Source organism: Homo sapiens, chromosome 9, assembly GCF_000001405.40.
Source record: "Homo sapiens chromosome 9, GRCh38.p14 Primary Assembly".
In the NCBI taxonomy this organism is placed as follows: domain Eukaryota; kingdom Metazoa; phylum Chordata; class Mammalia; order Primates; family Hominidae; genus Homo; species Homo sapiens.
Window position 1 is genome coordinate 70,132,362 of NC_000009.12, and position 12,171 is coordinate 70,144,532.

The following is a 12,171-nucleotide window of genomic DNA, read 5'->3' on the forward strand; positions in this document are numbered from 1 at the left end:
CCAAGGGAGACATTATGGTCACCCCGCCTTATTAGTGAGCCCTTATTCTTGGTTATGTAGCATGGAAAGTAATTTATGAACTTGGCGTTTGAGGTCTTTCACTCAAGATAGAGTTGGTTTGTAATTTAATATGATTTCAGATACATTCTGCAAATCGGGGGACTAAGAAATTTTTTTTTTTTTTTTGGGAAGGGGAATTGGGGGGTCTCGCTCTGTCACCCAGGCTAGAGTGCAGTGGTGCAGTCACAGCTCACCACAGCCTCAAACTCGTGGCCTCAAGTGATATTCCTGTCTCAGCCTTCTGGGCAGCTGAGACTGGCTAGTTTTTTTGGTTTTTATTTTAGTAGAGATGAGGTCTCACTATGTTGTCCAGGCTGGTCTTGAACTCTTGAGCTCAAGGGATCCTCCCACTTTGTCCTCCCAAAGTGCTGGCATTACAGGTGTGAGCCACAGTTTACATGGAAAAATATTTTCAACTTGAGCTAAACTGTTACCCCAAAACTAGACAGCAATCTACTAATTTGCTGAAATTGAATACTATTTTTCCTAATTCTAATCTTTTAAAAGGTTGTAAAACAGATAGAACCAGATTAGATTTACATACTTTTTAATGATTTAATCCAAACAATAATCAAAGATTAAAAGAGTCTCTAAATTTGACAGAACACAGAAACCAACATTGTTTTACTTCTCTACATTTGATTCCTCCCTAATCCTATCAGTTGATATTTCAATTACATTCATAGTAATTTTATAATCTCTTTATCATTATTTTTAGACAAAATCTTTTTTCTATCACTAGGCAGTGACGCTGAAATTTATATTCCCTTGTTTTGTCTATGGTAGAAGAGGTGTTTATCTAATATCTGCGCTGGGCAGAGGGTGGGTGAAGAGGCAGCTGGAAGTAACAGAACCAACTGAATCACCCACAAGTAATGTTCAGAAATGCTCCTCCTTTTGAAAAAAAGAGAATTTGTGTGAGCTCTTTCCTACTACACAGGTGGTCTGTCTGGTGAAAGGAAAAGAAACGTTCCAGCAAAACAAGGACCATGTGTTAAGAGGGCTGTTGATCCCTCAGTCTGCAAAGCACAGACTCCTTCTGTGCAGGAACTTCCGCAGATATGAGTTCTTATACAGTTCGGTTAACCAAGTCTCCATACTGATCTTCAGAACTTCCCACTATGCCAGCTTGGCTTTAAATGGTTTAATTGCATCATCGTAGTGTTATGCTCAATCCACCAGGAATGTGGATTCACATCCCTATTCTGCCACTTCCAAGCTATCTGGCATGGGTCATGTTATTTAACTTCTTTGAGACTCTTTCCACATCTATAGCAAAGACGGAAGAAGCTGTTTCATAGACTTGTTGGGAAAGTTAATGAGTTAATGTCTGTGAAGGCCTTAGCACAGAGTATGGTACACAGAAAATGCTTCATCATGAGACAGTATTATTTACTTTATTTTCAAAATATGACCACCCATCCCTGGAGAACAGTGGGTCAGATTGCAACTAAAGAGAACCAGCAAAGGGCACTAGCTTGATGATTGTGTCAGCTGGAGCCTGCTTTATGTCTTTCATTGAGCAGCTGTGGGCCAGACTGAGTCTTTAGAAGCTGAGCCTTTTAATTTTCATACTTCATCTTACATTTCACAAATAGTTTATGCCCTTCTGTTTCATAACAGGTGCCAACATTTTTTCCTTAACTTGGTTAACTCCAGACTTCTTGTCTCTGCTTTTCCCAGCTGGACCTAGCATTTTCTTCCCTCATCTCCCTAATAGGCTAAGACAGGAATCATATCAACATACACAGCATCTTGTTCCCACCATCTGGTTGCGTTTAGAGTTAATCCAGTCTCCCGGACCTGAGACCCATCTCATAGTCACAGGTACTCAACAGCAATGTCATGTGGCCCTCCAATGAACTGCCCCCCACACCCGGTGCTTCCAGAGGACCGTGAGACCATCCCCCACTTCCTTCTCCATCCCTTTGCCCCCTCACTCTCCCCCTGCACAACCACATCTGTCCCAAAGTTTAGAAGATGGGAGCAAGCCTTCCTTTTGGTCTGTAAATCTTTGAATGCCTAAGAGGTGATCCCATTCACTTCTAGAATCCTGCCATAAAGCCCAGCCTCAAACTGAGAGCTCTACTGCTCTGCCATATGCAGACCCAATCTCCTTTCTGGGCTTGGGTCCACCCCACACCCAGTGACTGGGTATATCCTAACACTCATGGGAACGCCTCTCAGAGAATCACTACCTAAATCCCAATATTGGCCATTCACTGACAACACATTGCCCCAACCTCCTGTCTGTTTGGAAACCCAGGCCCAATTACTGCCTAGGCTACAGCTAAGGTTGCCCCAGCCTTTCTTATCTTAAGTGCCCCCAAGGGTCTCCACAGCCTAGTCGGTGACTCTGGCCCTTGTTTCCCCATTGGTCTTCAGTGTGGTGCCAGGTCCCACTGCCTCTCCTACCCAAGCCAGCTTTGAGCTGTCTCAGCCTGCTTTTGGGCTGGCACATGCTAGAGTAAAACTACCCTGCAAGGTTAGCAGTGTAGAGAACACACTGCCCCCAGTATCTATCTTTTAGTACTCTAGGGGCTGATGAGCCTTTTAGTCTGTGGGACCGATGTTGAGTTTCTCTCCGTGAACTCCAGGGAGCAGAGGAAACGATGAGAAATGTTTCCAACTACTCTCAAACTGCAACACACTCCCGCTAATTAGATTATCTTCAAAGCTTCTCATTTCTTAAAAGTTCAAATGTCAGAAAGCAAGTAATTAACTAAACCTTACATTATGATGCTTTTTGGTAAGTTGCTTAAAGGGGCTTTAGTTCTTTTTTCTTTTTTTCTTGATCATCAACAGATGCTCAGAGGCTTCCAACTGCCTCTGATTCCTCCCTATGCTTCAAATACATCATTGCACTTCCCAGCAGCTAAATTTGTGATCTGCCCTTTACTAACACCTCTGAAACAAGCTTGAAGCAAAGCCTCTGCACCCACTCAGGTCACAGACAGGCCTCTGGCCCCATCTTCAGGAATCAGACACTGTCTCAGGGTAGAAGCAGCACTCTAGGTGAAAAAGATTTAGCCCCTGAGTTATGCTTTTGAGATTTTTTTTTATCAGACCTCCTCAAGACCCCAGGAAAATCCATTTCAAATCTATTCATTAGCAAAATATTATAATCCCATCATCAGAAAAATATTTTCTGTATGACTCAGTCTATCACCATGGAGAGAAGTGATCCTGGCTTACTTTTAAGCTTTTTTTGATAGGCATTATTTTTTAGTGTAGTTTTAGGTTCACAGCAAAATTGAGAGGAAGATACAGAGGTCTCTCATAGTCCCTGTGCCTTCATATACATCACTGTCCCCAGAGTCCATAGTTTAGATTAAGGTTCACTCGTGGTATTGTATACTGTATGGATTTGGACAAATGTATAATGACATGTATCCACCATTGTAGTATCATACATTTTCATTGCCCTAAAAACCCCCTCTATATCCAGGCCAGGCATGGTAGTGCACACCTGTAATCCCAGCACTTTGGGAGGCAAAGGAGGGTGGATTGCTTGAGCCTAGGAGTTGTAGACCAGCCTGGGCAACATGGTGAAACCCTGTCTCTACAAAAAATACAAAAATTAGCCAGGCATGGTGGTGCATGCCTATGGTCCCAGCTTCTTAGGAGGCTAAAGGAGGAGGATAGGTTGAACCCAGGAGGCAGAGGCTACAGTGAGCCAAGATTGCACCAGTGCACTCCAGCCTGGACCACAAAGTGGGACCCTTTCTCAAAAACAAAAAGCAAACAAAAAACTCTCTATGTTTTGCCTATTCACCTCTCCTTCCCCCAAACCCGTGGCAATTACTGTTCTTTTTACTGTCCCCATAGTTTTGCCTTTTCAAGAATGTCACATAGTTGGAATCATAGAGTATGTAGCCTTTTCAGACTGGCTTCCTGCACTTTGTAATATGTATTTAAGTTTACTCCGTATCATTTTGCGGCTTGATAGCTCATTTCTTCTTAGCGCTGAGTGATATTTAGTTGTCTGGATGTACCACAGTTTATGTATCTACTCACCTACTGAAGGACATAGCTTGGTTGCTTTCAAGTTTTGGTGCTTATGAATAAAACTTCTGTAAACTTTCACGTTTTTATGCCACCTTCCACCCCCTCCCACACATCTAATAACTGAGTTAAGATTCTCTTGCAGTCGCCCAAGAGCACTGCTTTAAGATTCATTTCTTCTTCTCCCCTCTCTAGCTGGGACAAAGAATGAAAAAAAAGGAGGAAGGGGGAAGATTCATTCCTGATGAGGAATTCACTGACCTACTGTTTTCGTGCATGGCACTTGGCAGTGCCACCCCATTTCCTGAGTTAGATGGCCCTCTGTAGATTTGGGATTTTTATTTGTTTTTTTATTACCCAGTAGCAGAGGGGTGACTAATACTGAATACTTTAATGGGGTTTCCTGTGGTCTCAAATATCCATGGGAGAATGTCAAAGGATCCTTGTTCATGTAACATCTTGTTCATTTTTCACAGACTTTATCTTCAGGGCTTAAAGATATACCCTGGTGCTGACAGAATCAGGCAGACCAGGGTGTGGGCTAATCTACCCATCTTAGAGCATTGAGAATTCTCTTCATTTCCTCTTCTCCAGTCTGGCTCATCTGGGTTTGCTCCTGGTGCACTTCCTAGGGTATATCCCCTGAGATACAATCAGGTTCTAGTTATATAGGAACACTTTTTACCTAATCTTTTTTTTTGTAATGTGTTGTTAATCAGTTACTTTTTAAAATTTAATTTTCTTGGAGCTCTTTAATTTTCTATCATTTCAAACTCAGACAAAATCTGCAGGAAAACTACAAAGAACTCCTATATACTTTTCACCCAGCTCTACAAATTAAGATTTTGCCATGTTTGCTTTATCTACCATTTAAGAATAGGTTGCAAACATCATGCCCCTTTACCATTAAATATTTTAGTGTGTATTTTATAATCAAACACATTCTTCAGCATAACTATAGGATAATTACGGAGTTCAGGAAATTTAATACTGATACAACATTATCAACTTACTTTCGGTCCATACACCAATGTTTCCAATTGCCCCAATAACAACCTTTATAGATATGTGTTCTTCTGGACCAAGATTGAATCTTGCATCCCTGGTAGCATTTGATTGTCATGCCTCTTTCATCCACTTTAATCTGGGTCAGTTCCTCAACCCACCTGAATGTTTTCTTGCTTTGGAAATTGACAAATTGAGAATATAGTAAGTTTTTATAGTGAGCTGTTTCATCGGCTCACTGCTCCTAGAGCCCAAATGTTTCCCTAGAGATAATTTTCCAGTTATTCAACACATGTCCTCTCTCCCTAGATTGTTAGACGTGTATGTCAGCATTCAGACAAGAATCACACTTGGCTGCACCGACTGTATCCCAACTGCTACAGTCACATCCCCTCTGTTCTAAGAGGGCAATCTGAACAGTGTGATTTACAAGCCAATTGTTGATAGGATTAAAAGTTATTCTCAAAAGAGCAGAAGCATTTTATTTGTATAAATGTATGTGGTACAAATACAGTTTTGTTACAGGCATAGATTGCATAGTGTTAAGTGAGGATTTTAGGGTATCCATCCTGGCGTAACATACATTGTACCCATTAAGTAATTTCTTACCTTCCATACCCCCTCCTACTCCCTCACCCTTCTAAGTCTCCACCGCCTATCATTCCACTCTCTGTATCAGTGTGTACACATTATTTAGCTCCCACTTATGAGTGAGAGCATGTAGTATTTGTGTTTCTGTGTCTGACTTGTTTCACCTAAGATAATGACCTCCAATTCCAACCATGTTGCTGCAAAAGACATAATTTCATTGTTTTTATGGATGAATAGTATTCCAGTTTGTATGTACATATGATACTTTCTTTATTCAGTCATCCGCTGATGGGCACTGAGGTTGTTTCCTTATCTTTGCTACTGTTAATAGTGCTAAGATAAACATACAAGTGCATCATCTTTTTGATATATTGATTTCTTTGCCTTTGACTAGATACCCAGTAATGGGATTGCTGGATCAAATGGCAGTTCTATTTTCATTTTTTTGAGAAATCTCCACACTGTTTTCCATAGTGGCTGTGCTAGTTTACATTCTCACTAACATTGTATAAGAGTTCCCTTTTCTCCACATCCTCACCAACATCTGTTAATTTTTGTCTTTTTAATAATAGCCATTCTGACTAAGATGATATCGTGTAGTTTTAATTTGCATTTCTCTGCTGATTAGTGATGTTGAACATTTTTTTTATATACCTGTTGGCCATTTGTATGTCTTCTCAAAGAGCAGAAATCTTTTATGTTACCTCCAGGCCATCTGGGGTGAGGTATTTATAGAACAGGGTAAATAATACCAGAACTCGGCAAAGTCAAAGCAATAGCAGTACCCATGACAGAACTGTGACTCTTTGACCTGCACAATTTAAACTGAGTGATGACTTTCTTCAAGCAGATCAGCTCCTACTACTGATGTCAAAGTAGACATCAGCTGTGCTTCTGACACAGAGATTGAGCAACAAAGGAAAATTGTTTCTATAAAATATTATATCTAAAATCTTCATCTTAGAGACAGATTGAGTCCCATAAAATCTCTTCCTTTTCTCTTTTTTCTTTTAAAATTTTTATGAATGAATTGTGAATTGTGAAGAAGTATATGAATAAACATTCACAGTCATGACAGGAAATTTCTTTTTATTTATTTATTATTATTATTATTATACTTTAAGTTTTAGGGTACATGTGCACAATGTGCAGGTTAGTTACATATGTATACATGTGCCATGCTGGTGTGCTGCACCCATTAACTCGTCATTTAGCATTAGGTATATCTCCTAATGCTATCCCTCCCCCCTCCCCCCACCCCACAACAGTCCCCAGAGTGTGATGTTCCCCTTCCTGTGTCCATGTGTTCTCATTGTTCAATTCCCACCTATGAGTGAGAACATGCGGTGTTTGGTTTTTGTCCTTGCGATAGTTTACTGAGAATGATGATTTCCAATTTCATCCATGTCCCTACAAAGGACATGAACTCATCATTTTTTATGGCTGCATAGTATTCCATGGTGTATATGTGCCACATTTTCTTAATCCAGTCTATCATTGTTGGACATTTGGGGTTGGTTCCAAGTCTTTGCTATTGTGAATAGTGCCGCAATAAACATACGTGTGATGTGTCTTTATAGCAGCATGATTTATAGTCCTTTGGGTATATACCCAGTAATGGGATGGCTGAGTCAATTGGTAATTCTAGTTCTAGATCCCTGAGGAATCGCCACACTGACTTCCACAATGGTTGAACTAGTTTACAGTCCTACCAACAGTGTAAAAGTGTTCCTGTTTCTCCACATCCTCTCCAGCACCTGTTGTTTCCTGACTTTTTAATGATCGCCATTCTAACTGGTGTGAGATGGTATCTCATTGTGGTTTTGATTTGCATTTCCATGGGAGGAAATTTCTTTTGAAGTCGGGTACTTCATTTTTATAATGTGAACAGTGCTCCTTTCTCCCCTCCCTTTAGAAAGGAAAAGAACAATTTTCCTGTCATGTTGAAATGTTGGTTTGATTCTAACCTGTCAGCATGCCCTTTGGATAAAGATATTTAGTTGTGTTTTACTTCTTCGGTCTCCCCTGGTACAAATGTGTATATATAAATATCTGTCAACCAGTTGATGTAGTCCTTTGAGATCTTTGGGACTGTCATTAACTTTGCTTGTCCTTTGCTCAGAACTTCTGTTCAGTGCCGTGGAAGCCAGCTGCAATTTTGAGCAAGATCTCTGCAACTTTTACCAAGATAAAGAAGGTCCAGGTTGGACCCGAGTGAAAGTAAAACCAAACATGTATCGGGCTGGAGACCACACTACAGGCTTAGGTAAATCAGAGATCTGTCTATGTGGGGACATCTTGGGTAGTCGTGAGCTTTATTGGCCATTCCTACTTCACACCTGCAAAGACATCGACTTAAAGAAAAAAGGCAGCTGTGAAGAAGCAAAGACAATCAGTAGTCTTGTGTTTGACCATTTTTAAAAATTGGAATTCAAGTTGCCGTGTTAACAAACATATTTGCTAGTTAATTAAACAGGCAAATCCTTGTAAAATATTTTGGAACTCACTTTAGATGCAATACCTTTAAGGAAAAAAAATCTGTTGAATTGTATTTATACGAAATCTCCAGAAGAGACATATTCCTACAGATAAAAAGCAGATTTCAGTGGTTGCCAGGGGCCGTGGCAGAGGGAATAAGAGTGTTTAAGTATGGGGTTGCCTTTGGGTGATGAAAATGATCTGGAACTACATAGTGGTGATGGCTGCACAGCATTGTGAATGCTCAAAATGCCGCTGAATTGTGCACTTTCAAATGGATAAATGGTAAATTTTATACCATGTATATTTTACTATAATTTAAAAAATCTATTCTGAGGGGAAAAGCTATTAAAAAATGTTGAGTGGACACTTGATGGATATATTTACAAGGAGCTTTTTGAAACAGGAGTCTGAGTGCTCCTTGTGTAGGGATTACCTATTAATTCAATGACAGCCTTTGTGGAGCCCAACCCAGTGGAGACAAGTGTGAAGAGCTTGATCTCTAGGAGTTCAGTGTCTCATTCACTTACTCAACACATATTTATATACTGGAGACTGAGGTGAGTTTACCGTGGAGCTGGTGAAGCTTAGGTTCCAGGGCCCCTGCCTTCTACCAGCCTGAGAAAGGCCTTGAAAGAGCCCTCACAATTTTGTGCTTGTAATTTTGTATTCTTTTCTTAGAGGTTGCCTAACCTGTAGAAATAAAGGCCCTACCAAATCTATTCTGACCTTGGGCTGATTAACTGGAAAATCATCTCTAGAGAACCATTTGAATTCTGGGAGCAGTGAACTGATGAAACGGGGAACTGTTTAGGGACAAAAAGACTCACCATACTCTCAGTTTGTCAATTTTCAAAGTAATAAAACATTCAAGCAGATTAACTCCTGGGGAATACAATAGTGAACGAATCTGAAATGAATCCCACCTTCACTGGCAGACAATCTTTTCAAAGGGCAAGAGAAACATTAGACAAATATATACGCAAACAAACTTATAAGCACAGGTTGTGGTAAGTGCTGTCAGGGAGGAAAAACTTTTCCTCTACCCTCTTGGGGTCCATGTTTGGACCTGAGAATTAAAGTGATGTAAGACAGATTAACAAGAAAAAAATACAAATTTTATTTAATATTTTGACTTGCACTTGGGAGCCTTCATAAAAACAATGAAGACCCAAAGAAGCAGATAGGCCTGAGAGCTTCAACACCATTTTAAACAAAGGATGATAAAATTGCGGAGAAGTAGCAAGACAAAAAAGGGTCAGGGGGCTTAAGTTTCCAGGGGCAGTAAATTGTGGGAAAGTGACTAGGAAATATATGGAGGAAACAATGGAAGATGAGGGTTATGTTAGTAGGTTTGTTTGTACAGATCCATTTTGGTGTCAACTCCCAGTCTTTAGGGACAGAATGTTCCTCCCTTTCTGGGACAGGGAGAACACCTTGTTCACAGGAAATTTTATGACCTGCTTTTAAGTATAATAGAAAAGGGGAGGTCAAAGGATCCTTCCTGCCTCTGCTATTTCTCAAGTGACTTTACCTCAAAATAATCAAAATGCCAAAGTGACATAGTTTGGGGTGGCATGTTCTGATCCCCTTCTTTCACAGTAGAAAGAAATGAAGAGTGAGCTCTGAGACAGAATAGAGGGAAGAATCTAATTTGGGTTCAGGATTCAGGGAAATTTTCTCTGAGGGAAGCTGCCATTAGCTGGGAGAGTGGGAGTGACCCAGGCAGAGGGAACAACATCTGTGAAGGCCTCGAATTTGGAAAGAGCTGGTCACACCACAGAATAGGAAGGTCTGTATGGCTGCACCGTGGGGAGGAATGGTGACGAGGAGAATGGAGGAAAATGATGTCAGAGAGGGAGATAGATTCTGGGTGTGGCAGGCCACAGGAAGCATTTGGAATTTTATTATAGAGGACATGAGAAGCCACTGAGAGGTTTTAAGCAGAAAAAACACAGATGAAACTGAGGTTTCAAAAAGGTTTTTCTGGCTGTTGTATGGCCATCCATAATAGTCTGCTCAGGCAGCCATAAGAAAATACCACAGACTGGGTGGCTTAAACAACAGACATTATTTCCTCACAGTTCTGGAGGCTGTGAGTTCAAAATCAAGGTGCCATCAGGGTGGTTTCTGGTGAGGGGTCTTTTCCTGGCTTGCAGATGGCCACCTTATCCTGTGTCCTCATATGTCCTCTTGGTGTATGGAGGCATAGAGAGCTCTGGCATGTCTTTCTCTTCTTTTGAGTTAAATAACTGGGTAAAACTAAACTGTATACAAAGACTGAGGCACCCAAAAGAAAACTGACAGGAGGAGGAGCAGAAAAAAGAAAGAGAAAAAATAAGGTGTTATTATTTTTTTCTTTTCTGCCCAGGCTTTCCAGGATACACAAACTCATTTTAAATTGACCATGGGGATGGTGGGAGGGGGAGGTTCCTGATCTTATTTTTCTTTATGTTGTTTAGGAGGAATAAAGGAAGAACATAGATCTTTAGCACCTGGGAGGATCCATCTGATGAAAAACCTGCTCTTCAAGGGCAGGTTTAACATTTGACCAAGAGAGGAGTAGGCTCTGCCCAGACACACAAACTTCCACAAAGACTGCCAGGCCAGCCTGAAATCCCACCATCTCTATCGGTCACTAAGGAGATAATAAGGAAGAATCTGCTCTGGGCCTTCCATTCACTATGGTTCAGTCCTCGGAATGTACAATCTAAGTCAGATGGTTGACCCAGGCAGCTGGTATCTCCAAGATGACTTCATCCTTTTTGTTTCATGAAAAGTGTAAATCCTAATTAATGACTGGAATCTGGGCATATTCTATAGAAAATCTGTACTGGTTTATAAAGTTTACTTAGAATTGAATGAGGTATCATTTCAATAGAGGCACATGGATATTTTCTGTCACTTAAGCCACAGACATTAGAAAATGCTTTCTATCATTTAAAGCATAGCTGATAGTCTTTGCTGTCTAGTTCTACTTTAATCATATTTTACCACTTGCTAATCTAGATTAGATTATTTTGCATTGCTGATATGCTTTATCTTCTTTGCAGGGTATTACCTGCTAGCCAACACAAAGTTCACATCTCAGCCTGGCTACATTGGAAGGCTCTATGGGCCCTCCCTACCAGGAAACTTGCAGTATTGTCTGCGTTTTCATTATGCCATCTATGGATTTTTAAAAATGAGTGACACCCTAGCAGTTTACATCTTTGAAGAGAACCATGTGGTTCAAGAGAAGATCTGGTCTGTGTTGGAGTCCCCAAGGGGTGTTTGGATGCAAGCTGAAATCACCTTTAAGAAGCCCATGCCTACCAAGGTACAGCAGAGCCAATTTCTCCTGTGTCCATGTTCAGTTGCTGGACTAGTTTTGTGAATGTCCGTCTAGCTACTGTCAACTGGTGATGTATTATTTTCCTTCTGTTCAGGCCTACGGCCTCACCCTTACACCCTACTCCCAGCCACATACAGGTTAATCCTTCAGTTATTTTCTGTTTTCTGGGTCTCTGAATCACAGCCACCTAGAGAGTTTGCTTTTTGTTTATCTCTTAAATTCCCTAAGACTAATTCAAAGACTGAGAGTACATGAATTGTCCAAGTTCAACAGCTGAACTTTAGTTTGAAACTTTAGTCATAATTCTCTCTCTCTCTTTTTCTTTCCCTCCCTCTTTCTCAAACACACATACACACACTAGTGGGAATGCTAGTATTTTAAAAAGGTGAAATCAGTGAGCCTGGTTCTGCATTGAGGCTTTAAGGTTAACAACCTAAGGCTCTAGCTGAACACAGGATGAGGAAGCTCATTAAAAAATATAGAACCAACACCACCCTAGCCAGAGAGAATTTACATAAGGGAACCGTCAGCATCTGATTTTGATATAAATGAGAATATAAAAAGAGATCTTTATTGCAAGGGGAATGGAAAAGAAAGCTGAAATCTCTCAAGCTTAGCAACTCATAAACTTAAAGAAGTTTTACAGATGCAATAAATTCTGTCAACTGCAACTCAGAATGAAACCAGTGTGGGAAAAA

At 40.5% G+C, this 12,171-nt stretch overlaps 1 protein-coding gene across 3 annotated transcripts in view; it reads left to right on the plus strand.

Annotated features, from left to right (window-relative positions):
- The window catches only part of MAMDC2 (MAM domain containing 2), a 183,392-nt gene that overhangs the window by 88,781 nt on the left and 82,440 nt on the right, over nt 1-12,171 (plus strand). For all 3 annotated transcript variants that reach the window (NR_125850.1, NM_153267.5, NM_001347990.2), the window contains exons 8-9: nt 7,784-7,927; nt 11,193-11,458. Coding sequence is in view for 2 of the 3 variants with exons in the window: in NM_153267.5 (NP_694999.3) it covers nt 7,784-7,927; nt 11,193-11,458 (410 nt within the window). In the remaining variant the exon portion in view is untranslated. The remainder of the gene's footprint in view (nt 1-7,783; nt 7,928-11,192; nt 11,459-12,171) is intronic.